Source organism: Homo sapiens, chromosome 20 (assembly GCF_000001405.40).
Source record: "Homo sapiens chromosome 20, GRCh38.p14 Primary Assembly".
In the NCBI taxonomy this organism is placed as follows: Eukaryota; Metazoa; Chordata; class Mammalia; order Primates; family Hominidae; genus Homo; species Homo sapiens.
The window spans coordinates 64072817-64100798 of record NC_000020.11 but is presented as its reverse complement, the minus strand read 5'-3'; the positions used below and the strand labels follow the sequence as shown (position 1 = coordinate 64100798).

At 61.2% G+C, this 27982-nt stretch overlaps 3 protein-coding genes and 1 non-coding gene across 27 annotated transcripts, besides 7 other annotated features; 3 read left to right on the top strand and 1 right to left on the bottom strand.

Annotated features, from left to right (window-relative positions):
* Window positions 1–155: 155 nt before the first annotated feature.
* OPRL1 (opioid related nociceptin receptor 1) lies at window positions 156–20717 on the bottom strand. Of its 13 annotated transcripts, none has more exons than XM_047440154.1 (6): window positions 15651–15800; window positions 14200–14294; window positions 11040–11174; window positions 7846–8111; window positions 2642–2997; window positions 156–2523 (listed from the first exon to the last, which is right to left on the bottom strand). In XM_047440154.1, exons 4-6 carry the CDS (start codon window positions 8076–8078, stop codon window positions 2000–2002), a joined length of 1113 nt encoding a protein of 370 aa, XP_047296110.1. In that variant the 5' UTR covers window positions 8079–8111; window positions 11040–11174; window positions 14200–14294; window positions 15651–15800; the 3' UTR covers window positions 156–1999. The 13 variants fall into 12 exon arrangements, with proteins under 13 accessions (XP_047296110.1, XP_047296111.1, XP_011527130.1 ...); NM_001200019.2 differs by lacking the exon at window positions 11040–11174 and adding an exon at window positions 8683–8833 and having other exon boundaries at window positions 166–2523; NM_182647.4 differs by lacking the exons at window positions 11040–11174; window positions 14200–14294; window positions 15651–15800 and adding exons at window positions 8683–8833; window positions 20447–20717 and having other exon boundaries at window positions 166–2523.
* Window positions 7426–8158: an enhancer, noted in NCBI's record as "H3K4me1 hESC enhancer chr20:62723994-62724726 (GRCh37/hg19 assembly coordinates)". NCBI's record gives its function as "activates a minimal SCP1, AML or CMV promoter by ChIP-STARR-seq in primed H9 embryonic stem cells {active_cell/tissue: H9 hESC(primed)}" and the evidence as "EXISTENCE:reporter gene assay evidence [ECO:0000049][PMID:30033119]".
* Window positions 8159–8892: an enhancer, noted in NCBI's record as "H3K4me1 hESC enhancer chr20:62723260-62723993 (GRCh37/hg19 assembly coordinates)". NCBI's record gives its function as "activates a minimal SCP1, AML or CMV promoter by ChIP-STARR-seq in primed H9 embryonic stem cells {active_cell/tissue: H9 hESC(primed)}" and the evidence as "EXISTENCE:reporter gene assay evidence [ECO:0000049][PMID:30033119]".
* Window positions 13677–13877: a silencer, noted in NCBI's record as "peak4324 fragment used in MPRA reporter construct". NCBI's record gives its function as "represses an SCP1 promoter by STARR-seq MPRAs in K562 erythroleukemia cells {active_cell/tissue: K562}" and the evidence as "EXISTENCE:reporter gene assay evidence [ECO:0000049][PMID:32103011]".
* LKAAEAR1 (LKAAEAR motif containing 1) lies at window positions 15846–17423 on the top strand. 6 transcript variants are annotated; one of them, NM_001386971.1, is made up of 4 exons: window positions 15846–15887; window positions 16571–16981; window positions 17094–17216; window positions 17305–17423. In NM_001386971.1, the coding sequence occupies exons 2-4, from the start codon at window positions 16580–16582 to the stop codon at window positions 17362–17364; spliced, it is 585 nt and encodes a 194-aa protein (NP_001373900.1). In that variant the 5' UTR covers window positions 15846–15887; window positions 16571–16579; the 3' UTR covers window positions 17365–17423. The 6 variants fall into 6 exon arrangements, with proteins under 6 accessions (NP_001373900.1, XP_024307617.1, XP_047295919.1 ...); XM_047439963.1 differs by lacking the exon at window positions 15846–15887 and adding an exon at window positions 16225–16297; XM_024451849.2 differs by having other exon boundaries at window positions 15846–15903; window positions 17094–17423.
* Window positions 16989–17068: a silencer, noted in NCBI's record as "silent region_13209". NCBI's record gives its function as "represses an Ori minimal core promoter by ATAC-STARR-seq in GM12878 lymphoblastoid cells {active_cell/tissue: GM12878}" and the evidence as "EXISTENCE:reporter gene assay evidence [ECO:0000049][PMID:35858748]".
* Window positions 17249–17308: a silencer, noted in NCBI's record as "silent region_13208". NCBI's record gives its function as "represses an Ori minimal core promoter by ATAC-STARR-seq in GM12878 lymphoblastoid cells {active_cell/tissue: GM12878}" and the evidence as "EXISTENCE:reporter gene assay evidence [ECO:0000049][PMID:35858748]".
* Window positions 20133–20306: a silencer, noted in NCBI's record as "fragment chr20:62711846-62712019 (GRCh37/hg19 assembly coordinates)". NCBI's record gives its function as "represses an EF-1alpha promoter that drives an FKBP-Casp9 reporter gene in an ReSE screen in K562 erythroleukemia cells {active_cell/tissue: K562}" and the evidence as "EXISTENCE:reporter gene assay evidence [ECO:0000049][PMID:32094911]".
* Window positions 20700–21379: a silencer, noted in NCBI's record as "silent region_13207". NCBI's record gives its function as "represses an Ori minimal core promoter by ATAC-STARR-seq in GM12878 lymphoblastoid cells {active_cell/tissue: GM12878}" and the evidence as "EXISTENCE:reporter gene assay evidence [ECO:0000049][PMID:35858748]".
* On the top strand, window positions 20835–27618 carry RGS19 (regulator of G protein signaling 19). Of its 7 annotated transcripts, none has more exons than NM_001039467.2 (6): window positions 20835–20926; window positions 23845–23942; window positions 24153–24274; window positions 26258–26332; window positions 26421–26655; window positions 26755–27618. In NM_001039467.2, the coding sequence occupies exons 2-6, from the start codon at window positions 23913–23915 to the stop codon at window positions 26944–26946; spliced, it is 654 nt and encodes a 217-aa protein (NP_001034556.1). In that variant the 5' UTR covers window positions 20835–20926; window positions 23845–23912; the 3' UTR covers window positions 26947–27618. The 7 variants fall into 7 exon arrangements, with proteins under 7 accessions (NP_001034556.1, XP_047295780.1, XP_005260240.1 ...); XM_047439824.1 differs by having other exon boundaries at window positions 20835–21176; NM_005873.3 differs by lacking the exon at window positions 20835–20926 and adding an exon at window positions 21281–21505.
* MIR6813 (microRNA 6813) lies at window positions 23789–23844 on the top strand. The gene has a single exon (NR_106871.1). It is a non-coding gene; the product is annotated as a microRNA 6813 (primary transcript).
* Window positions 27619–27982: the final 364 nt, after the last annotated feature.

The following is a 27982-nucleotide window of genomic DNA, read 5'->3' as shown; positions in this document are numbered from 1 at the left end:
GGACGTTTCACTGAGGGCAGAGCCCAGCCTGTTGAGCAGCACAGGACAGGTACAAGAATTCAGCCTAAACCCATAGCCTCCTCCCACCCACGTGCCAATCCCAGAAAAGTCACTCCAGAAGCAAATCCCCAGGTGGCAGGAGCCAGAAACACTGGTTACAAAGAATACCCAGCCAGTGAGCAGGTGTTTATTAGGGTCCTTTTTCATTACCCCAGAGACAGACCCAGGGCTGGCTACGTGCACAGGAAGTAACGCTTGCCACATGCATAAATACGTGAAGGTGCACATTACATCAGCACAGATTCACAAAACACCTCGCCTTGGCAAGAAAACTGTAGCTAGGCAGCTCCCGTCCTCAGGGACTCCTGCCACAGACGTCATGGAGACAGCATGAGCCTCCCCAGAACAGTCCCCACGGCCTAGACTCCCCAGAGCAGGAGGAGCAGCCCAGGCTCTGTTGCGAGACAGCCATCACTTCCTGTTCTTTGCAGGTGCCTAAGGTAGGTTACCTGGCCAAGGTTTTGGTGGAAAAAATGAGTTTTTTCAATGTTGCAGGTCTTTTAATAGTTCATCTGTAGGAAGTGCATTTGCAAAGTCACCAACCTGCAGCTTCCATCTGTAGACCAGGAAGGGTGATTCTCTGGGTGACCACAGCGGGGCATCCCCTGAGGTACAGACGCCCCCCCCCCAACCCCCGCAGTGTCCTCACAGCCACCACAGCCTTTGCAGTTTGGCTCAAGCAAGCCCTGCCAGGCCCCACCCCTCATGCTGGCTCTGCTGTGAAGCCATCCTCCCGTTGGGCAGCAAGCTCAGGCCCTACACAGAGCCATCTTGAGGCTTGTAAATGAAGCAGGCGTCCCCAGAGCAGGACTCTGCTGTGGCCACCAGCTTCTCCTTCCACACAGCTTCCCCCGCAACACAGCACGGCCACTGACCTCTGGCTTCAAGCAAAGGAGAGGCTGTGAGGGGAGCCTTGGGAGGATGTGGGGACCCCCAGAGAATCTTCTCCCACCCAAACAGAGCAGTCAAGACCAGGAAAACGAGGCCTCCACTTTGTGAACAGAGCTGCCCATGTGGTCACGCGGCGCCTTCGTCCTGAGACACCTGCCCCACACTGAGAAGCAGGGCTGGGTTGACGGTCCACAGCATGATAGTTCATTGCACCGCTGGAGGGAATGGGCCAGGGCCTCTCGCTGGTCTCCTGAAGGGAAATGGGGGTTGGGCCCAGAGTCAAGCTGCAGTCAGGGATGAGGCCTGCACCGTGCAGCACACAGAAAACCTTCAGAGGTGCGGCTGGCCCAGGGCCAGCTCGGGGTCTGCAGCCAGGGACTGCCAGCCCCCACCTGGACACTTTCTCCTGGGGTGGCCCCGGCTGCACAGGTGGAGTCGGAACAGGCAAGTCCTCCAGGTGGCAGCTCCAAGCTCAGGGCAAGTCCCACCCCAAAGAAAAGCTGCCTGCTGCACTTCCCGGGCAGTGCCAAGCCTGTCCAGCTGCCCTGAGGAGACGTCACAGGGCTGAAGGCAGCTGGAGCCCTGCCATGCAAACAGCACACAGCACATGGGGGGCACAGGATGACACAGCTGCTGCTCCTCCTCCGGGTGCCTGCCCACCCAGGGTTCTGCCAACGCAGCAGCAGAGAGGCCAAGAGTCACATGAAGCACGGGGAGGGAGGGGCACGGGCTCCAGTCACGGCCGTCCACCAGCATGTCAGCTGCTTCCAGGTAGGTCCTTGTGTCCCCTCGGCCCTGCACCAGGAGGGCAGCTTTAGTCTGTCTGGGGCCATGGAGGTGGCCCTAATGCTTTGACCTGTCCCATGATGTCACTAGGTCCTCCTCTGGGACCGAGCATCCCTGGCCCACAGGGAAAAGCCCATCCCAGGCTCTGGATGCTCAGGGCCCAGGGTGTGTCCGCCTAGAGAGCAGTGACCTGTGTGAGCTCTGTGTTGGGCGTAGATGGGCTCTGCGGGCTGACAGGCACCATGGGCAGGTCCACGCCTAGTCATGCGGGCCGCGGTACCGTCTCAGAGGTCTTGCAGGCCAGGGCCACGTCCTTGGCAATGCTGCGCACGCGGTCAGACACCTGCACGTCCCGGCGCAGGGCAGATGCACAGCAGAACTTGCGGAAGCAGGCCTTGAAGTTCTCATCCAGGAAGGCGTAGAGGATGGGGTTGAGGCAGCTGTTGACGTAGCCCAGGGCCGTGCAGAAGCGCAGAATGGCCACGGCAGTCTCGCTGCTCGGCTGAACCCCCAGCCCTTGGGCCAGCACGAAGACCTGGACAGGCGTCCAGCAGCCCACGAACACAGCCACTACCACCAGCACCAGCCGAGTGATGCGCCGCAGGTTCCGGTCCTTCTCTCGGGAGCCCGAGAGCAGGCGGACTCCACGGAGCCGCCGGATCATGAGGCTGTAGCAGACAGAGATGACGAGCACGGGGACGATGAAGGAGAAGAGGAAGATGCAGATGGCAAACACCGGGCCCCAGTAATCCTGAGGGGTAGGGATCTCCACCAGGCACTCGATCTCTGCAGGGAGAGAAACGGGGTCAGAGTGGGCCCAGGAGACGTGGAGGGCACGTGGGCCCAGAGGAGCCACCCGGGAGCCAGGGAGCCTGGTGAGGGGAGGAGGGGACACCCCACTGACCTTCATCCTCGACCTGTGCCGAGCCCATGATGGCAACGGGAACACCGACAACAGAGGCCAGGGCCCAGATGGCCACATTGACAGCCTGGGCTTTGCTGGACGTGCGGACGTCGAGGGCACGGATGGGGTGGCAGATGGCTACATAGCGATCCACACTCATGGCAGTTAGGGTGAAGGTGCTGGTGAACATGTTGTAGTAGTCAATGGCAATGACTGTCTTGCACAGCGCATTCCCAAACGGCCAGAAGCCCAGGAGGATGTCCGTGCCCTGGAAGGGCAGCGTCAGCAGGACCAGAGTGTCGGCCAGGGCCAGGTTAAAGATGTAAATATTGGTGGCTGTCTTCATTTTGGTGTGCCTGCGGAGTAGAGGGAGAAGAAAGGCTTCACTTGGCCATGCTGGCTGGACCAGGCAGCAAAGGGCAAGGGGCTCCTCTTGGCCACCACAAGCTACAGTGGCCCTGAGTCCCTTAACATCAGAGTTCCCATGGGGGCTTGGTAAGTGATAGCTCCTGGACCCAACCTGAGACTCATGAGTCAGTCTCAGGGGGTAGGGCCTGGGGTCAAACGTCTTAACCAGCTCCTCAAGTGACTCTGACACACACAGAAGGATTCCAAGCCTTAAACACAGGTCTACTTTAGAGGAGTCAGGGCATGTAGGCTACCAGAACACACCCCGGATTCTGCACAGGAGCAAAGGTTTAGAGCCCTAAGGGAAAGAGTCTGCTCCCCTTGCTTTTGAGTCCCCTCCATGACCCCTCACAGACTCAAATGCTGACCCTACAGTTGCCAGAGGTTTCTGAGGGCTCCAGAATCTGTAAGAACATATCAAAAGGCTTCCAAGTCCACACTGCTGCCTAGCAATGGAGACCGAAAATGGTGACGGGGGGACAGGAGGGATGCTAATAAGGTATGAGTGTATCCAAGCACCTGAAATGGTGCTGGAAAGGGCTGGGAAAATCGTTGGTGATTAATAAATTTTTGTTAAATAAGTTAATGGTTGTAATAGTTGGGGGGGATTATGGTGGTGATGGTGGTGGTGATGATGGCAGTGATCATGGTGGTGATGGTGATGACTGTGAGCGTGATGGTAGTGGTGATGATGATGATGGTGATGATGGTGATGACTGTGATGATGGTGATGGTGATGATGGTGGTGGTGGTGATAGTGGTGATGGTGATGATGGTGGTGATGGTCGTGATGATGATGGTAATGATGGTGGTGGTGGTGATAGTGGTGATGGTGATGATGGTGGTGATGGTCGTGATGATGATGGTAATGATGGTGGTGGTGGTGATAGTGGTGATGGTGGTGATGGTCATGATGATGATGGTGATGATGGTGGTGATGGTGGTGGTGAGGATGGTGAGGATGGTGAATGTGATAATGAAGGTGCTGGTGGTGGTGATAGTGGTGATGATGATAGTGGTGATGATGGTGGTGATGGTGATGATTGTGATGATGATGGTGGCGGCGATATTGGCAGTGGCAGCAGCACCCAAGATGACACTATTCTGTGTCAGTGTAGCTGCCGTGAGGAAATATGGGGCTCCATTCTGCCTGTTAGAGAGGGATTATGAATAAGCACAAAGAGGCCGCAATTACGAAGAGACAACAACAATGACAATGATCATGGCAAATACCTGTGCCAAGCTCTTCAGGGGGAATTTATGTCATTGAAGATTTGCAAAAATACTACTTTGATCCCCACTCTATAGAGGAAGAAACTGAGGCCAAGAGGATCTATGTTGTTTTTTTAAGGCCTTAGAGCTGGTAAAAAGCAGAGCAGGGCTCAGAACGGAGTGTCCTGACTCCCAAGATGGTCACCCCAGCCCACTGGCTGGAAACATGCTGCATGCGGCCTCTCGGGCCAGTGTGGCCACGGCAGCTCCTGAGCATTGCTCTCTCTGGGGACTCTGGCCAGCAGAGGACCTTCCCTGTCTGCTCTAATCCAGGAAGTGCCTCTGAGAGATTAAATGCCTCAATGCAGAGGAGAAACACAGTAGAGAAGCGATCATATCAGGAAAGGTGCTCAAGCCCAGGGACTTCCCCAGGCTGCCGCACTCCTCAGCCGTGACACGCCCGCCAGCCACAATGGGACATGCACATCACGAGGCAACCTCCCCAGGAGCCTCCCTTAGGAGTCAGCAGTGGGGAGGGACAGCTGTTCTTCCCACTGTCTCGTCTGACCACGCATCACCTGCACACACATGTACACACACATACATATACACGTGGCTGCATGGTCCACCTTGCTCACTTTCCAGATGGGAAAAACAAGGCCCAGAGGGGAACAGCTTTTCTCAGGGACACTAAGAGGACAGGGCTAGGATGGTGGCAGCTTGAACACCCCCACTACCCTGTCCCGCCTCTACCTACATAACACCTCCGGTTGGGGCCCTTTGAGGTTGTAAGGAGGGAACACTTGCTTTAGATCCCTGGGCACTTTCTTCAGAATCACCTTTTTCCGGGTCCAGGCAAACATCCTGGACCAATAAGAAACCTCATTCCAGCTGTCAGTCATTTTCCTGCTAAAGCACCACCCATAACCCCCCACTGCCTGAAGAACAGAGTTCCCCCAACCGGGCCTTCAAGATCCCACCTGCTGTCCCCAGCCCCTTCAGTTCTCTCTTCTCTGGATAGATTTGAGGTCCATCATTTCCTCTGCCCAGAAAACCCTCCCTTTCTGCTTAAGTCATCTCCATCTTCTACCTGCCCAATCCACAATCCACGTGAAGGGTTCCTTGCCCACCCCCACGCTGCCCCCCATGCTGTGCCCATGCTGTCCCCAATGCTATCCCCCGGCTCCCCCCCGACTATCCACCCCACACCATCTCCCCCAACACCATCTCCCCCACACTATCCCCCCACTATCCCCCACACTATCCCCCCCACACTATCCCCCCGATGCTATCCCCCCACTATCCCCCCAGCTCCCCCCAACTATCCCCCACACTATCCACCCCACACCATCTCCCCCACGCTATCCCCCTAGACGATCTCCCCCACGCTATCCCCCCACACCATCTCCCCCCACACCATCTCCCCCACACTATCCCCCCACTATCCCCCACACTATCCCCCCGATGCTATCTCCCCGCTATCGCCCCAGCTCCCCCCAACTATCCCCACACTATCCCCCCATACCATCTCCCCACGCTATCCCCCCCACACCATCTCCCCGACACTATCCCCCCAGACGATCTCCCCCACGCTATCCCCCCCACACCATCTCCCCCATGCTATCCCCCCCACACCATCTCCCCCACGATATCCCCCCCACACCATCTCCCCCACGCTATCCCCCCAGACGATCTCCCCGACACTATCCCCCCCACACCATCTCCCCCACACTATCCCCCCGCTATTCCTCTGGCCACCCCCACTGTCCCCCCATGCTATCCCCCCACGCTATCCCCCTGGGTGCTCCCCACTGTCCCCCACACTATCCCCCTGCTATTCCTCTGGCTGCCCCCACTGTCCCTAACACTATCCCCCCACGCTGTCCCCCGTTATGTCCCTGGCTGCTCCCCACTGTCCCCCCCCACACACTGCCCGCACACTGACCCACACACTGCCCCCACACACTGCCCCCACACTGCCCCCCACACACTGCCCCCACACTGACCCCCACACTGCCCCCACACTGACCCCCACACTGCCCCCCACACTGCCCCCCACACTGCCCCCACACTGACCCACACACTGCCCCCACACTGCCCCCACACTGCCCCCCACACTGCCCCCCACACACTGCCCGCACACTGACCCACACACTGCCCCCACACTGCCCCCACACTGCCCCCACACTGACCCACACACTGCCCCCACACTGCCCCCACACTGACCCCCACACTGCCCCCCACACTGCCCCCCACACTGACCCACACACTGCCCCCACACTGACCCACACACTGCCCCCACACTGCCCCCCACACTGCCCCCCACACTGCCCCCACACTGCCCCCCACACTGACCCCCACACACTGCCCGCACACTGACCCACACACTGCCCCCCACACTGCCCCCACACTGCCCCCACACTGCCCCCCACACTGCCCCCCACACTGCCCCCCACACTGCCCCCACTCTGCCCCCACACTGACCCACACACTGCCCCCACACTGCCCCCACACTGACCCACACACTGCCCCCCCACACTGCCCCCACACTGACCCCACACTGACCCCCACACTGACCCCACACTGCCCCCACACTGTCCCCACACACTGCCCCCACACTGCCCCCCCCCACACTGCCCCCACACTGACCCCCACACTGACCCCACACTGCCCCCACACTGTCCCCACACACTGCCCCCACACTGCCCCCCCCACACTGCCCCCACACTGACCCCCACACTGACCCCCACACTGCCCCCACACTGACCCCCACACTGCGCACACACTGACCCACACACTGCCCCCACACTGCCCCCACACTGCCCCACACACTGCCCCCACACTGCCCCCACACACTGCCCCCACACTGCGCACACACTGCCCCCACACTGCCCCCCCCACACTGCCCCCACACTGACCCCCACACTGCCCCCACACTGACCCCCACACTGACCCCCACACTGCCCCCACACTGCCCCCCACACACTGCCACACACTGACCCCCACCCACTGCCCACACACCGCCCCCCACACACTGCCCCCACACTGCCCCCTCAATCTCAACTATCAGCTGCTCTCTCAATGGCCCCCACAAGTTTTCCCATCTCTGAGCACCAACAGATCATGGGCTCAGCCACAGACACCTGCCATGAGCAGGAGCCCTGGAGCCTGAGAGGGGTTTCAGAACGGTCCGAGCTCCAGCCCCTGCGCCTCCCTTCGCCCATCTAGGGAATGGGCTGAAAAAAGACTCTCCCAGGGCCGCTGTGGGATCTCATGAGGTCATTCAAGCAGACAGCTTGACACAGAGCCTGGTCCACAGCTCAAACCAGAGGTCAGGGTGGTGACGTCTCTGCCTGGGACAGAGCGCGGTGGGCCAGGGCCAGCCCCCTCCCCTCCCCTCCCTGTGGAGGGGAGCACCCAGGGCCTCAGGACTGACCCTGCCTCCTGGACAGGGTCAAAAACATTGAATGGGGGAAGCAGGAAATCAACACCTGCTCAGGCCCATCCAGAACAGACCCCGTCTCAGTTTCCCCCTCTGCAGCCGTGTGGGACTCACCAGACAGGAACCTTGGGGCCCAGCCTACCTGAGGATGACGTACATGACAAGGCAGTTCCCCAGGAGCCCTCCGACACACACGGCCAGGTAGAGCCCCACGATGGTGACCTTGAGCCCGAGGGGCAGGAAGGCGCCGTGGCTGGCATTGAGCAGCAGATGCGGGGGCAGCAGACTGTGGTTGGGGCTCAGGAGGGACAGGTTGCCCTGAAGGTGGCTGCCGTAGATAACCTCCCAGAACGGCGCGGGGAAGAGGGGCTCCATGCCACTGCCCTGCAAATCCACTCTGTACGGTACCTGGGACAGAGCGCAGAGACAAGTGGCTGCAGTGCCAGACACACGCCCAGCGGAGGCCTCACAACCCAGCACGTGCAGCCCAGCAGGCACATGGACCCCCACGCTGGGCAGCCACAGACACTGAGGCACACGGGCACACACACCAGAACACACAGGCACACATGCACATGCAGGGACACATGGAGACACGAGGACACGTGTGCACAGACAGGGACTCACAGAACACAAAGACACACATGCACCCGCAAGGACACGGTCCCATTTGGTTTAGAGACTCACACACAGGGTGCCTGGAGGCAGCTACACCCCAGGACACGTGTCCACCCACAGGGACTGATGAACACACAGCCACTCGCGTGTTCACAGGCACAGGGATGCAGGGACACAAGTCACACACACAGACACACAGAAATGCCCAAACCTGCCCTCACGCACACGCAGGCACAAAAGAGACTGAGACACACCCAGAAACGCCTGGGACCCAGCTTCCTCCTGCCCCCTCCACCCGCCCTGCTTTGCTGCAGTCTGTCAGCAGGACCCCCACCCGACCTCCAGCGGCTCAGGCCCTTACTTCTGCAACCTCCTTGGGAGCTGGGACCACCGTGGAGACCCCCGCCCTCAGCCGGCTGGCAGTCGAGCACAGGTGCAGAGCAGGGTAGAAGAGGATCTTCTCAGCAGACGCCAGACCAGACGCAGCAGCCGAGTGAGCCGGCAGCCCGAAGCTGGGGGGGAGGGGGAGGAGGCTGCAGCTCCAGAAGGGGAGGGGCTATGCAGGCTGGAGGAGGTGGGGGCTGCGGGAAGGTGGGTCACCGCACCCAGGGCTGCGCCGGCCCCACACTGGACGGGGACAGACACACAGTCCAGGACACACAGAGATGAAAAAGGAGGCTCAGACCCACAGACCCCAGACAGACACACACGCACAGGCCAGGACACACGGACAGAGATGCCCACGGGTTCACAGACACAGGATTGGAGACACAGGACAGAGAGACACACACAAGGACACACAGACACGGGGACCACGACTCACACGGAGACACAGCCTTGGACAGACTGGCCCGGACCCCCCAGCTGGGCTCCCGGCACACCGAAATGCCCCCACCCGGCCAGCTCTCGACAGATCAAAGCTTCGTCGTAAACAAGCGGGTAAGATGCTTGGGTCCAGGACACGGCACTGGCCCAGCACCTGCTGTGTGCTCCTGGAGCTCAGTCACCCCCACCATACCCGGCCACTGCTGAGAGCACGAAGCCTCAGAGGTGTGAGGCCACCTGTCACAGTGGCAGAGACGGGGTGAAACCCGGGTCTGTTCGTCACTTGGAGACACGCCCAGGGCACCTCTGCCACAGCTGGGCCCCAGATCAGTGCCCAGGGCACCTCTGCCACAGCTGGGCCCCAGATCAGTGCCCAGGGCACCCCTGCCACAGCTGGGCCCCAGATCAGTGCCCAGGGCACCTCTGCCACAGCTGGGCCCCAGATCAGTGCCCAGGGCACCTCTGCCACAGCTGGGCCCCAGATCAGTGCCCAGGGCACCTCTGCCACAGCTGGGCCCCAGATCAGTGCCCAGGGCACCTCTGCCACAGCTGGGCCCCAGATCAGTGCCCAGGGCACCTCTGCCACAGCTGGGCCCCAGATCAGTGCCCAGGGCACCTCTGCCACAGCTGGGCCCCAGATCAGTGCCCAGGGCACCCCTGCCACAGCTGGGCCCCAGATCAGTGCCCAGGGCACCTCTGCCACAGCTGGGCCCCAGATCAGTGCCCAGGGCACCCCTGCCACAGCTGGGCCCCAGATCAGTGCCCAGGGCACCTCTGCCACAGCTGGGCCCCAGATCAGTGCCCAGGGCACCTCTGCCACAGCTGGGCCCCAGATCAGTGCCCAGGGCACCTCTGCCACAGCTGGGCCCCAGATCAGTGCCCAGGGCACCTCTGCCACAGCTGGGCCCCAGATCAGTGGCTGAGCATCACTCCTGCAGACAGGCCCCTGGCACCCACACAGCTGAATGGCCCCTTCAGAGTTGCCTCCTTCTCAGCACGGGGGTCCCATGCCTGATCCACTGAGATGAAAGGTCACAGGTCAAGGCTGTGTGGGTGACCCCTGAGCTGAATCACCAGCTCCCTCCCGGTCATGGGGTTGTACTTCCTGCACGAGCTTTGCAGGAAAACCAGACCTCTCCCCACACAGCTCAGACCCTGCTCCGAGCACCTTCTCCATGAGTGGGGACCTGGTTGCTAGGCAACTGGCAGCAGCGTTGCTAGGATACCTGGCAAATCAGGAGAGGACGGAACAGGCAGATGCCCCAGGACCCAGCATCCCTCGCTGTCCCCCAGGATTTCTCCCTGCATCTTCACGGCAACCAAGACTCAGGGACACGTGTGAAGGCACGGGGCACGTCAACAGAGACACTCAAGGGACACATGGGGACACACATTCCTGCAAACACACACACAGATGCCCAGACAGGCATACGGGTGAACACACAGAGACATGGATGGGTACACACTCAGAAATGCAGACACTCACAGGGATGCACAAACACACGGGCCACACACATGCAAGATGACGCCAACGTGCACGCAGGCACATGGGTAGACCTAGAGTGTGCATGGACACCTTTGGGAACAGGCAGACACAGACCAAGGCCCTCCGACACCCAGAGGACACACACATGCACAAACACGCTCTCCAGGCAAAGCTCGAGGGTGAGCCCCCTGACCTCAGGAGCCGAGAGGGGGCAGGAATCCAGGCAGGCTCGGACTCCTGCAGCCCTCCGCCCCAGCTGGGCTCACCAACGTCTGAGCAGGAGACCCTAGACCCTCCTACCCGAGCTTCCTGAGCCTGCCTCCCAGCCTGGGACCCAGCCTGGGCACTGTAGGCACTGAGGGTGGGCAGAGCAGAGACCTCGTAAGGGAAGGACAAAGGAGCCCAACCTGATGTCCCCGGACCAGGAACCAGTGTCAGAGGCCAGGGCAGAGTGTGGGACACAAGCACCTCATCCCTGCTACTGCAGACACCTCTCCCTTCGCATGTCTGTCTTCCACCTGGGTCACCCCACAGCTTCCTCCCTACAGGCAGAGACAGGGAGGATGAGGGGTTGGGATGGGGAGGAGGAGGAAAGGGAAAGGAGTGGGGAGGAAGTATGGAGAGATCAAGAGAGAGGATGGGTAAGGAAGGATGGGAGAAGAGGGAGGAAAACACGCTGGGGATAGGAGGACAGGAAGAAAGGAGGGGGGACGAGGTCAGACCTAGCTCCCTGACCCCCACCTCTTTTGACCCCAAGCCTTCTCACCCAGCAATAGCAACCAGCCACCTGCACCCCCACCAAGGCAGCTCCCAGCTCTGCCTTGCCTGGCCTTTCAGGAGTCAATAGAGACCTCAACTCCCTCTGTGGGAGCCGTTCAGGGTCCAGCAGAAGGCCGTGGCCTCCCCAGTCCAGGTGTTCACAATCTCATAATGTGTTCCCTTGAACTTCTTGTGTGTTCTGTGTCATTCTGCCCTGACATGTTCATAACCATAGAACCCAGGACAGCTTCTCCCTCCCTTGTGCCTGCGGCAAACCCCCAGCACAGACCCTGGCATGCTGAACAGCCTAGGCCCCCTGCGCAGAACCTGCCCCCCACCCACATAGACCCCTAGCCCACGGTACAGACCTTGCCCCCTGCATTGACCCTGCGCACCTGCCTGCACACAACCTGTCCCCCCTGCAAAGATCCTGCCCCCTTGCAAAGACCCTGGCCACTCTGCACAGATCCTACCCCTTGCACAGATCCTGGCCACTCTGCACAGACCCTGGCCACTCTGCACAGACCCTGGCCACTCTGCACAGACCCTGCCCTCCCTGCACAGATCCTGCCCTCCCTGCACAGATCCTGGCCACTCTGCACAGATCCTGGCCACTCTGCACAGATCCTACCCTCCCTGCACAGATCCTGGCCACTCTGCACAGATCCTACCCCTTGCACAGATCCTGGCCACTCTGCACAGACCCTGGCCTCCCTGCACAGATCCTGGCCACTCTGCACAGATCCTGGCCTCCCTGCACAGATCCTGGCCACTCTGCACAGATCCTGGCCACTCTGCACAGATCCTACCCCTTGCACAGATCCTGGCCACACCTGCAAAGATCTAGTGCCCCCAAAACCTGGCACAGACCGTGCCCCCACCCCACATAGATGCTATCCCCGTGCGTAGATCTTGGTCCCTCTGTACAGATCCTGCCCTCCCTGGACGGGTCCTGTCCCCCGACTCCCTTGAACAGACACTGACTCCCAATGTAGATCCTACCCACTGCACAGATCCTGGCCCCACTGCAAAGATCCTGCACGCTGCACAGATCCTGTTACCCCCTAAAAGTCCTCCCCGCAGAGACTCCTGCCCCCATGCAGAGATCCTGGCCTCAATGCACAGATCCTGGCCCATGTGCAGATTCTGGCCCCTTGCATGGATCCTGCCCCACCCCAGCCAGCTCCAGTCCTACCTCCTCCAAGAAGCCTACCCCAGGACCCCCAGCCCTGGGAACCTTCCTAACTTGGCCATTATTCAGTAATACGGCTGCCAGGCTAGGCCTGTGAGCTCTGGTCTCAGCAGATATCCTCTGAGAGTGTGGTCAGCAGAGCCCCGCAGGAGGCAGGCACCTGGCCCCTCACAGGCGCAGTCTTAGAGTGAAAGACAGGCCTGGTCACCTGGCTAGGGGATTGGCCAGGTGTGACACTGACAGTGCTCCCTGGGGTTGGCAGGGGCCCAGCCCTGGACCCAGAAACGCTCCCACGGAGGAGAACTGGTGGTGCAGATGAAATGGCCCAGGTATCTCTAGACCCCTAATAGAGTCCTGCCCTCCCCCAACCTGCCAAGGGTGGGGTGGTCCCTCCAGAAGGGGGAAGGTAGAATCAGGGTCCTATATAGAACATATATGTTACACAAGAGATAGCAAGAGGCACATGTTATATGAGAGAGCAAGACAACCTCAAACACACATGTTCTGGGCAGGCGAAACAATATGCAAGGATACTAGGGATAGCCCAAGACACGAACGATGACACGCGAATGACAGCACAGAGCTTGTGTGCGAGGATACTAGGGATAGCCCAAGACACGAACGATGACACGCGAATGACAGCACAGAGCTTGTGTGCGAGGATACTAGGGATAGCCCAAGACACGAACGATGACACGCGAATGACAGCACAGAGCTTGTGTGCGAGGATACTAGGGATAGCCCAAGACACGAACGATGACACGCGAATGACAGCACAGAGCTTGTGTGCGAGGATACTAGGGATAGCCCAAGACACGAACGATGACACGCGAATGACAGCACAGAGCTTGTGTGCGAGGATACTAGGGATAGCCCAAGACACGAACGATGACACGCGAATGACAGCACAGAGCTTGTGTGCGAGGATACTAGGGATAGCCCAAGACACGAACGATGACACGCGAATGACAGCACAGAGCTTGTGTGCGAGGATACTAGGGATAGCCCAAGACACGAACGATGACACGCGAATGACAGCACAGAGCTTGTGTGCGAGGATACTAGGGATAGCCCAAGACACGAACGATGACACGCGAATGACAGCACAGAGCTTGTGTCCACAGATTAAAGCCTGACACAGGCTGCTCTTGGAGCTCCTGGGTATTTGGGCAGGCCTGGGTTCCGGGGTGAGATTCACACCCACTCAGCAGGCAAATACACACACCTCACTCTCATCCAGTGACTCAGAATCAGCAAACGCCAGACGGCAGCTGGAACACTGTCTTTTGTCCTCCCCACTCCCACCCCCAGGGCAGGCACAGTCTACCCTCCTCCTTCCACAGGCTCACCACCCTGGGCTGGCCAAGAACAGGAATCAAGGCAGAGGGTCTGGCAGCCCCTCACAGAGCAGCCATCCCCCAGGGAAGCCAGTCACCAGGCCGCACATTTGTGCTATTAAAAAAGTGAAAGAATTTTTAACAATTCTGAGTTTCATCAAAATAAATTACTTTGTCCTTGTGATTTTAACTTTACAAAATCTATATACAATGACAAAAAAAATTGAGTTGTAGCTTCTCAATATCATGTTAAATTTTGTAGTCATTAATAAAGCTTACTAATTTGACTTGAAGTTTCATCGTCAGGCCTTGGCAGCAATAAACATGCTTTTAGATCTCAGCATTTCCGTTAGCCCTTGAAAAACACGTGAATCCTGGGGACAGAAACAGATGGGAGGTGTCGGCCTGCTGGGTCCCTCACAGTTGCTGGACCCCAAACACACAGAGAACACCTCCCTTCTTGCAGAACTGCAAACGTGTGGAGAAACAGTAGGGGTGAGGAATGTGAGCCAGGTAGGCCCTGGGAGTACCTGCTGCAAATTATGGACTAGGGGGTGTCAAGGTTTTCCAGTCCTATAAAAAGAGGTTACAAGCCCCTTCTTGCAGAACAGAAGAATATTCCCCTACTCCCTGCGTGACTCCCCCACAAACGCCAAGAGCCAGAAAGTGCCCCACCCATGTGTCCCCCTGGCCTGGACCCAGGGAAGCTGAGAGGATGGCCCAGGTCCCTGTCTCAAAGGACTCACCCCTATGGGAGCACAAAGGCTGCCCAGAGAAAGCGGCTGCTGGGTGAGCATCCCTAAGCAGTCACTGCTGCTTCTGGAGACCAGGGACCTTCCTCAAGCCAAGCTGGTGCTGCAGCCCAGGCAGGACCCCAAAGGCACCTGCAGGAGGGGAGGGAACAGCACCAGGAAGGGCCTTCCTGGGGAGCAGCAAAAGCTTGAGGGCTGGAAGGATGGGCCTAGCTGTGGGATGGGGTGCCGGCTCTGGGACATAGGGCTGAATGTCAAAATTTACCCTCTTACTGAGAGGCCAGGGCAGTCTCCCAAAAACAATGGGAACACCCAACAGCCTCCTGCCAAAAGGCCAGAAGCTCAGCTAAGACCCTGCTCCTCAGCTGGGACAGCCCTACTCCCAAACTCACAGGTTCCAAACTCCCAGCAAGGTGTCCCAGCGGCAGGTCTGTGAATATAGAGAGAGTACAGACATCTCGTGGAAGTAATAGATACGTAACAGATTGGACTTTTTGCACTAATTTTTGCCTAATTTAAACTGTGGAATAAGCACGTGAATTAGGAAATTCTAGAACACACTTATGAGTGCCTGAAGAAATTATAAAATGATTAAGTAGTTAATTGAGAATTAGTTACAAAACAAAGGAATGCACAAATAGATTTCCAAAATCTAGTATCTAGGACCCAAGATCCCAAGACACAGTGTTCAGCAAAACCCAGCTCTAGTCCTGGGGACACCAGGACCCCTGAGACCCCAAACTTGCCCTAGAAGAGGTGAGGGGTCCTGAGTTCTGCCCCATTATCCCTTTCTGTGAACACCAGTGGCTGGGGCCAGAGCCCCCTGGCCATCAGAAGGGAATGGGCCTTAACCACAAAGGTCTCCTCATAGCCGAGGGCCCCACCCACAAAACTAACCCCAAAGACCCCTCAAGCCAGGAACCTGGGCCCACAACCCCTAGGATGGCGCGTCTGCGGCCGCCTGGAAAGGACGCTCACCCAAGCTGGAGAAGCCGGCTCTATGCCTCTATGCCCCAATGACCCCTATGAGGGGCGCGTCCACGCCCAGACTCTAACCCAGGGCCCTCCGGAGGGGACCCTGCCCCCCGCCACGACCCGCCCCACCTGGTCGAGGGAGGGGCAGGACTCCCGGTTGCTGGGCAACCGCGTCAACAAGCCCAAAGAGTCTGGGCTACGGCGGAGGTTCTTCCGACCAGAGAAGGCAGCAAGCAGGGGGTGTAGGGACCAAGAGGTGGGGGCTGGGCCTCGGCTGCAGGAGCTAAGGAGGGGCGGGGGCGTTAGCCGCCGCTGGGGCTGGCCGTGGCTCTGCCTCTGGCACAGCGAGCCCAGCCCTGGCTGGACAAGGTGGCAGCTGTAGGCTGGGGCCGGGAAGGGAGGAGCCAGCTGGGCTTTTGGACCCTCCCTCCTCTGTCACCTGCCCTCTAGGCTCTGCTCCCCACAACCATCTAGGCCTCGAAGGGCAAGAGCGAGCTGTCTGGTGGGAGACCCTGACTGTCGGGGACCGCAGACATAGGGGCACAACGAAGGTCCCCCAGGCGTCACCTAGAGCTCTCCATGTGGCAGGGCCTGAGATCAACCCAGTGGGGTCTCAGCATTTTCTCAATTCAAACAGAACAGTCCATCGGGTAGGAAAGATATTTCCTACAACTGAGTTGATCAGAAAGTCCTAGTTGACTGCAGGACTGAGCAGGATCAGCCGATGGCAGAGCTGCTGGGGACGTGCGCTTGGGAGAGGGAGAGCGCCTGGGCAAAGCTCAGAGGCTGGGGGTGCGGAACTCAAAACCGACTGCGGAGAGCCCAGCGGGCGGGAGCTGGGGCGCACGTTGGGGCCCTGCCGAGGGGCGGGCAGGGCCCGGTGCCAGCCCCGGCACCGACGGGACGCCCTCCTCCCTCCGCAGGGCGGGAGGATGCCGCCGCCAGCGAAGGAGGGCGGGCGCAAGGGCCCGCGGGAGCGAAGCGGGAAGAGCGCGCCAGGCACGGCGCAGGGTGAGGAGCGTGCCAAGGGGGCGCCCGCGACAGAGCCCCCCAAGCCGGGCTGGGCCCTGACGCCGCAGGGACTGGCGGCCATGCTCCCTGCGCAGCGCCACCGCCATCTGCTCTTCGGCGACCTGCTGGAGGACGTGGGCGCGGCGGCCTCCACCTTCCCGTGCGGGTCGGTGGAACCGGGGTACCGCATGCCCGACCCGCGCCCGTGGACGCAGTCGCTCGAGCTGCCCGCCGAGCGCCAGAACCGGCTCCTCGGCGTCCTCAAGGCAGCGGAGGCCCGCGGGCGAGTCCGCGCCCTGCGGCTGCGCTACACCCGCATGCGGGTGAGGCGAGGGGGTCGGAGGGCAGAGGGGGCGCACCGGGAGCGTTGAGCGGAGCCGGCCGGGGCGGGGCGGGGCGGGGCTCGGCGCGCGCTCAGCTACCCGGGCCCCGCAGGCCGAGGAGATCGCGCTGCTCATCCAGCGGCAGAAGTCCGCGCGCGCCGCCATCCGGCTGGAGCTGTTCCTGCCGCCGCAGCTGAAGCCCGCGCGGATCCCGGACCCCCTGGACCGCCAAGAGGTGCAGACAAGCCCCGGTAGGGGCGGGGAAAGGGGAGGGGCCCTGCCCGCCTCCGCACACGCCGGACCCCAGCCTCTCTCCCCGGCAGCGGAGGCGCGTGGAGACCATCCTGGAGGAGAACGTGGATGGCACCATCTTCCCGCGGTGACGGCGACTGAGAGTGTGCGACGCGCCCCAGCCTCCCACATAAAGTTATAATTCTCCGAAGGCTCGCTGGTCTTTTTGCTGCCACTCCCCAGGACCCCGAGGGAAGCGGGGAGTATGGACGCTGCCTCTCCCATGCACCTCACAGACATCAGGGTACAGAGAGTGGGGCCTCTCCCAAAAAAGTGGGGAGACGCAAGTGGGTGGGTGTGAAAGTAACAGGTCAGGGACACGCCTACCCCTAATCCCGATCTGCCCCCCACTGGCAACCTGGCGTTCTGTGGGTCTATGGGAGGCCCCCAGTCTTGGGGAGGACGGAGAAAGAGCCTGTTTCAGCAGAAGTCACCCCCAGATGTAAGGGTAGCCTCAGGCTGCAGTGGTCTCGAGTGCGAGTCATCCCACCAGGGGGCCAGGGAGAGGGCAGTGCTGTGGGCAGCGGAAGTGACCTAAGCTGGCCTTTGAAGAAGCAGCAGCTGTGCCCAAGAGGACCAAGAGACTGGGCAAGGGGAACCCCTGCGGCCCCCAGACAAAAATCCCACCCTCTGGCCTTCCTTTCCATCCTGAATAGCCTCCTGTGACCCCTTTAATGCCCCATGCCACACCCCCACACCCACCCCCCCACACACACACACCCCACACACACTCACGCATGCAGTACAAAAGGAAGCCACCCCTGTCCCATTCTGACAAACAGGCCCACGACCTACAAAATCCCTGGACTCTGAAAAGCCCCGAGGTTTCTGGGCAGACCTTACTTTTCTCCCCGACGTGAGCTCTTTGCAGACGCTGGGGCTTCCCTAGGCCCCCGCTTCCTTTTCCTCCCTCCCAGCCCCCTGCCCAGCAGGCTGCACAGAAGCGGGACCGCAGGAACTCAGACAAACCGCTCCTCCTGCTAGGGGGCTCCAGCTGACTGGAAGGAGGGGCAGAGGTCAGAACTGGGGTCCAGAAGGGATCCTGCTCCATGGCAGCCAGTGTTTCTCCCCAGCCCCGGCCAGGGGGTGGAGCCCTGCGCACTCGCCCCTCAGCCAGCCCTTCTCCCCGTGCACCGAGCACTTTACTCTTTCTGGGCTGTTGCTGCCCTTGGCCTTGACCCAAGCCCAGACTGTATACAGAGCTCAGAAGTCAGCTGACAAGGAGGGGACAGAGAGATGGCAGGAGGGGTTTCAGGAAGGGAAGGGTAGAGAGGAAGGAGGCCAGGGAGAAGGGGCTTGAGCAGGGGCAGACAGACAGGGAAGGGAGGCAGTCTGTCCAGGAGTGGCAGCCACTCACACCCTGATGTGCTTGTGACATGTGATGACAGCCAGCCCTGGTGTCGTCTGGCCAAACTCCCTGCAGCCTGGACCCCAGGATTCTGTGTCTTGGGGATTGACTGAGTGCCTAGAATGAGTTCATCTACTGGGAGAATCACATATTATTTCACCATTTCTCTGAGACTCCATTTCTTTATCTTTAAAATAAGGGTCTTGGTGCAGTACCCCACAGCAGCAAGTGCTCCAAAGGGGATGGGTCACTCTGCATCAGACAGGCAAGAGGGAAGAGGGGCAGAGACAGGCACAGCAGACCCAGCACCCAGAGAAGGCCAGCAAGACAGTGACCTCAGTGACTGCACCAGGGTCAGGCCGGCACTCGGGCCCTTTGATCCCCATGAAAAGGCGCAGGGGGTGCTGGATGTGCAAAGGAGGCTGGGGAATGGGGCCTGGAGGGACGCCTGCCTGTAGAAAGCTCTATGGGAAGGAAGGCATGTGGTCCAAAGCCCAATATATTGAGGGCTGTCAGGGCGCAGAGGGTCCTGGGTTCAAATCCCAGCTCCGCCATCAACTGCCCAGCTCACCTGGCCCCACCCATGGACTTCAGGATGCTGTGTGCCGAGAGGCAGAAGCCAGGGCGGTGGAGAGCAGGCCCAAGGGGCCAGAGGAGACGGGGGAATGACTGGGGGGTTGTAGAGTGACCCGAGGGGGCAGGGAGGGCACTGACCTTCACCCCCTGCCAGCTGCCCACAGCTGCATTTTCCCACAGCAGAGACAACAGGCCGGCTCAGCGGGGTCAGCCTGGTTGTGTGTGGCCTGGGCCAGGTGCTGGCCCATCTTCGTTGAGCTTCCCTGACCTCACCTGTGCCCACCGCTCAGGAGTGTTATGTGGGCTGAATAAGTAGCAGCCTGCCTCTTGTCCCTGTGGGCTTCCTGGCCCCTGCCTTTCCTTGCCTGGCCTGACAACATGGCAGTCACAGGGTTCTGGGTACAGCTTCGAGAGGCAGCCTGTCTGTCCTCCAGGGCCCTCTGACCTCTGACCTCCCCCTTCGGGCCCCCGCCCCCGCTCAGCAGCGCAATACCCTCCCCTCCTCAGCCCTCCCCCCTCTCACCCAGGCCTTCCCTGCCTGCTCCCCACAACTCACTCTGCGCCCCCCAGCATAAGATCCAGGCTGATCTATGTTGCTGGCTTCTGGTCCTACTGCCTGGCCCACAGGGGCACCCAGATACTGATACTTGTCCGTTGAATGAGGAATACAAGTAGAATCTCCAGCTGCCTTTGCACCCCTCAGAGTTCTGTGAAGGTGTAAGGTGTGCACCTGACCTGTGCAACTGGAAGGCATTTTATGAACAGATCCCGACACTGGGAACTATCCGGGTGGAGTGCTTGTGCTGGGGAGGACAGGAGCTGCACACAGCCGGGCCAGGGGAGGGGCGGGGGGCACAGATGCTCTGCAGACACTTCCAGAGCAGGGTCAGGGCCACCCTGACACAGGGCCAAAGCATGCTGCGATGAGAAGCCTAACCCACGTCTGTACCGAGTCATAAAGGATGAGAAGAGTCGGCCAAAGGGACAGGGCGTTCGTGGCAAAGGGGACAGTGTGGCCTTAAGCTTTAGGACATCTTGGGACACACGGGTCAGCAGGGACTCTGCCAGGCCCCACAGGAGACATTCGGCATGACTCCGGATGCAAGAACCCGCACCCCCAGTTCTCCCCAGCCCCGCAGCACAGGAATCTCCCCCTTCCTTGGGAACCCCCCACAGCACAGACAGGCGGCTCTTAACCCAGTTTTACAGACGCGGCTCACGGAGGCGAGGGGTGGGCCGGGCTGGCGTACCCGCCGATCGGTCCTTTGCAGCAGCCTCCTCTTTCCCAAGCTGGGCAAGCAGCATATGGGGCCCAGCTCTCGTGCCTCCACTGTCGTGGAAGTCCCACACGGATGGCAAAGCAGGAACGGCCCCGCCGAGCAGAGTCGGGGGCCACGGCCACACCCCCATCTACTACCGTGCGGCTCCGTCCGCCCGGGAGCCAGGGCTCCACTATGAGCACCTCGACTCTCCGGGCCACCCCCAGGCGACTGTGGGGGCCGACGCGCGGGCGGGGCGGGTGGGGTGCGGAGCCGGCCGAGCGCGGGGCGGGGCGCGGCGGGCGGGGCGGGCCCGGCGACCGCCGGCGCGAGGAAGTCCCGGCCCCTGGCTTTGGGGAAGTGCCGCCGAGGCGCCTGCGCACTGCGCCCCCGCGCCCCCTCCCCGACTGTCGGGCCGGACCTTGGAGCGCGCGGGCCGGCGGCGGCGCGAGTGGCTCGGGAGCGCGGCTGGTGAGTGCGCGCGCGCAGCGCCGGGGACAGCGGCCCTGCCCCTCCCGGCCCGGGCCCGGGGACCGTGCTGGGCGGGAGCTTCGGGAGCCGGCGCACGGGACTCGAACCCCAAGGGCTCCCGCCGCCAGGTCCACGTGGACCCTGGGCCGCAGTGGAAGTGGAGCCCGCCCCCCGCGCGTGGGGGAGGGGGCGCCGCAGCCGGGTTCCCCTTTTTCTGGAGCTCAAAGCCTGGGGAAGTGATTGCTCAAAGGTGGGGGCCGGAAGAACCCAGGTTTCCGCGTCTCCCTCCCCCTCTCAGCCCGGTGAGGAGGGGCCGGGGCGGGACACCCTGTCCGCCCCCGCCCCCACCCCGCTGGATCTGGCAGCCACTCAGCCCTTCGAGCTGTAGGGGAGGCGCTGCGCCCCCGGCCCCAGCCGATCGGGGGCTCCTGGCGCTAGCCTCCCTCCAGAGCGCCGCAGGAGTCCCTCCTGCCGTCTGACTTGAGTCCCTGCTGCTGCAGTGCACGCCCCTTCGGCAGCCAGGGTGGGGCCCAGACCCAACCTGGCCCCTCCTGCCCCCACCCCGCCTTTGGGTCGCTGGTGAGTAGGGAGCTTTGAGGTAGGGGTGGGGGCGTCAGAGGCTGAAGAAAGAGGCACCTGGAGGAGAACACAGGCTTCTCCAGACTGGACCCTAACAGCAGAGAGAGGAGCGTGGTGGGTGGGCCACCACCACCATTTCAGAGGTGGGGAGAGCTGGCCTTCCCTGGAGGGGCCAGGCCAGGGCTCGCCCACCAGCCAGATGTGGAGGGTGGCAGATGGGAAAGGCCCTGGGTAGGAGCTAAGGACTGAGAATGGAGCCCCTCTTCAACCCCCCTCCCAAAGGTTATGACATTTTTTTCTGGGATTGTCACATTTTCTTATTCTTTTTTTGGACTGGGCAGGCTCTGGGACGTTCTTTTTCCTTCTGTGGAGCAAAGCGGCAGCCACTCCCAAGGGATCCTCTATCCCCAGAGAGCAGACGTGCCGCCTATCCAGCCTATCCCATCCCAGACTTGGGGGCCAAAGCCTGGGAGGCTGGGGAAGGGGGTCCCCAATGCCAGGTTGACAAGCAGGAGGACCCTAGTTGAGACTCTGTATCCCCCAGGAGAGACGGGGGGAGGGTAGCCTGGGGACATGGGTTGCCCCAGTTGACCTGAGAAGGGTACAGGAAGCCAGGTCCAGGGACAGGTGACCAGGTCCAGGGCCTGCAACTGGGAAAGAAGGGGCTGGCTCCCTGCTCTGCAGCAAATGCAGCCCCTAGCACCCCGGCCCTGCACCCCTAAACACGTCCCCTCCTCCAGTTCAGAGCTGGGGTGGAGATGGTAGCCCAGGGGGACAGTCTCAGGGGTGCTAGAGTGTGGGGGAGGACCCTGGGTGGGGACAGAGAGGAGGAAGAACTGCTGCCTGGGGAAGCCACAGACAGCCCCGTCTGGGTACAGCTACCAAACCTCAGGTTGCCACGCCCCTTCCTTTCCCTAGAAACTTGACCCCTGAAAGAAAGCCCAGCTGCAGGGCTACTTTCGGTCTCCTCATCTACTTGCTAGGAGCCCGTGGGACCCCCAGTCTCAGAGGAAACTGGGCCGGTGGTGAGGGGCCAAGGTCCCAGGGGATGCTGCACCTGCCCCAGACTTGGGCCAGGGCAGTGGCCTCTGCATGCCCAGGCCTCGGGGGTATTGGGGGCCCTAAGAGTGCAGAACTCCAGCACTGTCTCTTCTGAGGGCCATTCACACACCGTCCCAGGAGGCCAAGAGAAGCCAACCAGCCAGAAACAAGCATTCAAAGGCCACGAGCTAGGGGAGGCGTGGCGGGGGGATGAAGATTGAGAAAATAAAGTAGAATCAAGTTGTGAGCTTCCTGGCCAGGGAGGGTGGCGGCACATGAGGAGGGTGGCGGATGTGCACGGAGGCCCCTCCCTGCCCTGGGCAGAAGTGGGCGCAGGTGTTCACAACTGCCTCCGGGGCACTGATTGGCCCCCCTGTACCATCGCCCAAGGAGACTTGGGATTCGAAGTGGCATCTTAGGTGGCATGAGGGCCACTCACAGCTTTGGCGCTCCTGGTGCACCTCCCCTGCAGACGGTGCAACCAAATGCTGGGAGGGACATGCACCACACCACACCCCCCTCAGGGACTCCGAGGCTTCGACTGGGGAGCAGGGTGCCCCCCACCCCTGCCACCCCCACTTCCCTGGCTGGCGCACCCTGTGGTAGGGCCTTGGTTCCACAGCAGTTTCACAGCCTAGAGGCAGTGGGCAAGGAGGGAGGGAAGTCTTGGGTGGGAGGTAGCAGGACCAAAGAACCATGTTTGGGGGGCATGTCCCTCCTCACCGGGGCCCTGCCCCCCTTCCCACACCCTCAGCAAGTCCAGCCTGAGTCCCACTTAAATCCTCACTGCTGCAGGTCTAGCCTGCTGCCCCTGGCTGAGACCTCTGGGACCCACAGACAGACCTGGACTCTTGGTGGGAAGCCACTCTGCCCACTCCCCACCCCAGACACCCTAGAAGCCAGTCTGGCCACCACCCGCACGCACCAGTTGGTAGCCCCAGACTCTCGGGGCCCCTTTGGGAGGGGCTGGGAGCCGGAAACCAAGAAAGAGGAACCCAGGCTTCCGGCTTCCCAGGGAGTGAGCGGATGGGGGTGTCTCGGAACCTCCAGTGGGGGCCTCATCTGGGGCCCAGCCTGGGAGGAGGGGCCAGAAGCTGCTGCAGCTCCCTCCTCAATGATCCTGGACCCCCTCCCAGCCCTGCTGTAAGCTTGGGGTCGGGGTAGAAGCCCTAGGCAGAGCTGGGTCCAGAGGCAGGAGCAGGCCCCGCTAGGGAGACACCCTCTCAGGACCCCTCCTAAGGGGTAGGCAGGGGCTGGGGTTTCAGGTTCTCAGTCAGAACCTTGGCCCCTCTCCCCAGACCCCCAGGCTGTGGTGAGGGTCTGAGAGCTGGTACCACGGAGCCTGGGCAACCTCCTCCGCCCACCCATGCCCACCCCGCATGAGGCTGAGAAGCAGGTATGCCACCTCCCCCTCTGCCTCTGCTCCCCTGGGGGAGATGGGGTGGGGCAAGCTGAGGGGCCACAAGGAGCTGGGAGATCCCTGAACACCCGGGAGGCCAGAAGGGTCATGTGCCTGGGAACAGGGCTACCCATGGGAAGGTGGGGGAGAGGTGGAGAGTCTGGTGGGTTCTGACCTGAAAGCTGAGGTAGCCCCACTTTTCCCCAGATCACAGGGCCAGAGGAGGCGGACCGGCCCCCTTCAATGTCCAGTCATGATACAGCCTCTCCAGCGGCCCCCAGCCGCAACCCCTGCTGCCTGTGCTGGTGCTGCTGCTGTAGCTGCTCCTGGTGAGTAGGGCCTGGGGTGCCCAGCTGGCGAGGGGGTCGAGGGCATGGGGCCAAGCAGACCCAGGAGGGGACCCAGTGGTGGCTTCCGAGGCATCCCCGCAGGCAGGATGCCCCTGCCACCTCACAGCACTGTCCTGTCCAGGGTCTGTTGGGCCCTGGTGATGAGTGGCCGGTGCCTTGGCCCCAGGGAGCTCATGTATGGCTCTCGTACCTGTCTTGCCAAGGGTGTGTCCGTGTGCTGTGTACATGCATGTGCCCGTTCACGCGGCATGTGCTTTATCCATGCTGCTGTGAGCCAGCCCAGGCTAGGCCCTGGGGGCCTGCGGTGGAGTAAGACAGGCACAGGCCAGGTGCAGTGGCTCATGCCTGTAGTCCCAGCACTTTGGGAGGGCAAGGTGGGCGGATCACCTGAGGTCGGGAGTTCGAGATCAGCCTGACCAATGTGCAGAAACCCTGTCTCTACTAAAAATACAAAATTAGCCAGGCGTGGTGGCGCATGCCTGTAATCCCAGCTACTCGGGAGGCTGAGGCAGGAGAATGGCTTGAACCTGGGAGGCGGAGGTTGCGTTGAGCCGAGATCGCGTCATTGCACTCCAGCCTGGGCAACAAGAGCAAAACTCCGTCTCAAAAAAAAAAAAAGAAAGAAAGAAAGAAAGACAGGCACAGACCCCATACAGTGTGTGGGGTGGAGGGACGTTTGAACAGAGACCCCAATAAGGGAACTGCTGGCCCTGGGGCGATGGCCAAGAGCTTCCCGGACAGCATGCGTGGGGGAAGAAGAGCAGGGGGCGGTGGCGGGGACGTCTCTGGGCATCCCTGTGAGGGTGGGAGTGGGGCTCCCAGATGGTAACAGATTTCCTAGGAGTGTAGGGGAGCTGGTGGATGTTTTCACACCTTGCAGAAGCCTGGCCCTATTCAGGCTTCAGGCCCTGGCTGATGAGAGGACAGCGCTTCTGGATCCAAGGTGGCGTCAGCTGACCCACGGGCAAGCTGGGGGTGGCCAGGGGGCAGTCGGGAAAGGGGGTGGGAGGAGCCCAGGGGCCTAGTTCTGTCAGGACGTTTGGGTGCACGATGTCTGCCAGCCATCCAAGTGCCCTGGAGAGAGGTCAGCCGGGTATGGATTTGGGTCCAGCACTGACAGGATGCTAGGAGCCAAGGCAAAGAAGCTGCTTCCCTTGAGACAACCGGGGATCAGGCTCCAGAACCTGAAGGAGTGTGGACACGGGTTTGGGGCTCTCACCTGCGTCAGCCGACGAGAGACACTGCTGACACGCCAGACCTGCAGCGTGTGACCCCATCGGTGGGACAGGGACAGGCCAAGATCAGGCCCAGGAGCAGGGTGGCCCTGTTCCCAGGCACATTCCCATGGGTGGCCCTGTTCCCAGGCACATTCCCATGGGTGGCCCTGTTCCCAGGCACATTCCCATGGGTGGCCCTGTTCCCAGGCACATGACCCTTCTGGCCTCCCAGGTGTTCAGGGATCTCCCAGCTCCTTGTGGCCCCTCATCTTGCCCCACCCCATCTCCCCCAGGGGAGCAGAGGCAGAAGGGGAGGTGGCATACCTGCTTCTCAACCTCATGTGGGGTGGGCATGGGTGGGTGGAGGAGGTTGCCCAGTGGGCCAGGGATGGGGAGGAGCACACCAGGAGCCGAAGGGCCCCTCCTGGAAGGCCAGAGACTCGCGGGCACTGGGTCACACTGCTGGAATGGAAGACGGCAGAGTCTGTGGTCTGGGCACTGTGGCAGGGACAGTAACCTGGACTGCAGATTCTGTGGGGAATTTGGGAGTGTGGGAGAGTGTGGGAAGAGCCAGCTCCAGGGGCTGCCCTCCTGCAGTGGGTGCCCATGTGTGTCAGGTGCCTGCAGGGGCTGCCCTCCTGCAGTGGGTGCCCATGTGTGTCAGGTGCCTGCCCATGTGCTGAGGGCCTGTGTGGCCGTGGAGGCGTGTGTGCCCACGGCAGCGCTGCTTCCTCTCTGCCACTAGGAACCAAGAGCGGCGGCGCGCGTGGCAGGCCTCCCGGGAGAGCAAGCTGCAGCCCCTCCCCAGCTGTGAAGTATGGTGAGTCCAGCCGGCTGGTGTGTGCGTGCTGGGGGGGCCCCAGACCGGGAGACTCGGGCCTGACATAGCCTGGCCCCCGTGCCCACAGTGCCACGCCAAGTCCTGAGGAGGTGCAGAGCTGGGCGCAGTCTTTTGACAAGCTGATGCACAGCCCAGCGGGACGCAGCGTGTTCCGGGCGTTCCTGCGGACAGAGTACAGCGAGGAGAACATGCTCTTCTGGTTGGCCTGCGAGGAGCTGAAGGCCGAGGCCAACCAGCATGTGGTAGACGAGAAGGCGAGGCTCATCTACGAGGACTACGTATCCATCCTGTCCCCCAAGGAGGTGCGCCAGACACCAGAACAGGCCGGGGGCCGCCTGCTCCAGGCACTAGGTGGGGAAGGCAGCTCCCGCACCCCCTGACCTCAGTGTCTTGTCCTGCAGGTGAGCCTGGACTCCCGTGTGCGGGAGGGCATCAACAAGAAGATGCAGGAGCCGTCCGCACACACGTTCGACGACGCGCAGCTGCAGATCTACACGCTCATGCACCGGGACTCCTACCCCCGCTTCCTCAGCTCTCCCACCTACCGTGCCCTGCTGCTGCAGGGGCCATCACAGTCCTCCTCCGAGGCCTAGGCCGCCCCCAGCAGCACAGACCCCGCCGCCTCCTACGGCCGACTCTGGGTTCCCTTCAGGTGTTGTTGTCGGCAGGGCTGTCAGGGCACATGCCTGGCCGGCTGGGGTCCCCACCCGCGGAGACGGTCCTAGACCCAGTGGGGAGTGCTGTGTCTCCTGGGTCTGCCCACCCGTGGCCAAGCAGGAACTCCAGGTGCAGGGCGGGCCTCCAGGTGCAGGGCGGGCCAGAAGCCCCCTCATCGGCCCGCAGCTGGCTGGCCCAGTGCTCCTGGCTGGGGGCTCTTGCGTGGTGAGAGTAGGGGTCCCCCCAGGAGCCATGCTGGACCCATGAGCCTCGCTGGGGCCTCCTCCCCAGGCAGCCAATGGGCCCCAGACAAGCCTTTGGTGGGGAACAGAACCTCCGCATCGTGTAGTTTTGTGACATAAGGAGACCTCCTACTTGAGCTGTCTGTACCCCAGAATCAAACACAGAACCTCAGAACCAGATTTAGGACCTCAGAATCCTGCACTCAAGGTGGCAGGACCCAATTTCTGTTTTATATGTTCATGAACTTTAAACCTGGAAACATGTCCTTACTAGGTGTTTTATCAAAAAAAAGTTTTCATATTTATCTCTATCCCTAACCCCCCAAAAATAGGATGTCTTATTATTGAAGATATTTTTAAAGCAAAGTCTCTACTCATTTTTGTCCAAGTCTGGGGAGAGACTGGAGAATGAGTGGCCCCAGACTCAGGGCTGGGGAGAAGTGTCCTTGTCCCAGGGCAGGGGCTCCAGTGCCCCTTGGAGGGGACACACAGCCGTGTGCTTGCCCTCTTCCCATGCCCTGGCCTCCACCAGACCCCTCCTCAGAACAGTGGTCCCAGTGGGTGGCTGTGCTTAACCCTGCCCGGGGCATGAGCTCCACGCCCTCGGCCTCAGCCTCCTTAGCTGAAAGTCGGGCCAGAACAGTGACCCACAGCACCTCAGAAGTCGAGAGGCAACAGGAGGTGCCGCCCAGGCCCAGCCGGACGGGGTCCCCAGAGGCAGGCTGGCTGG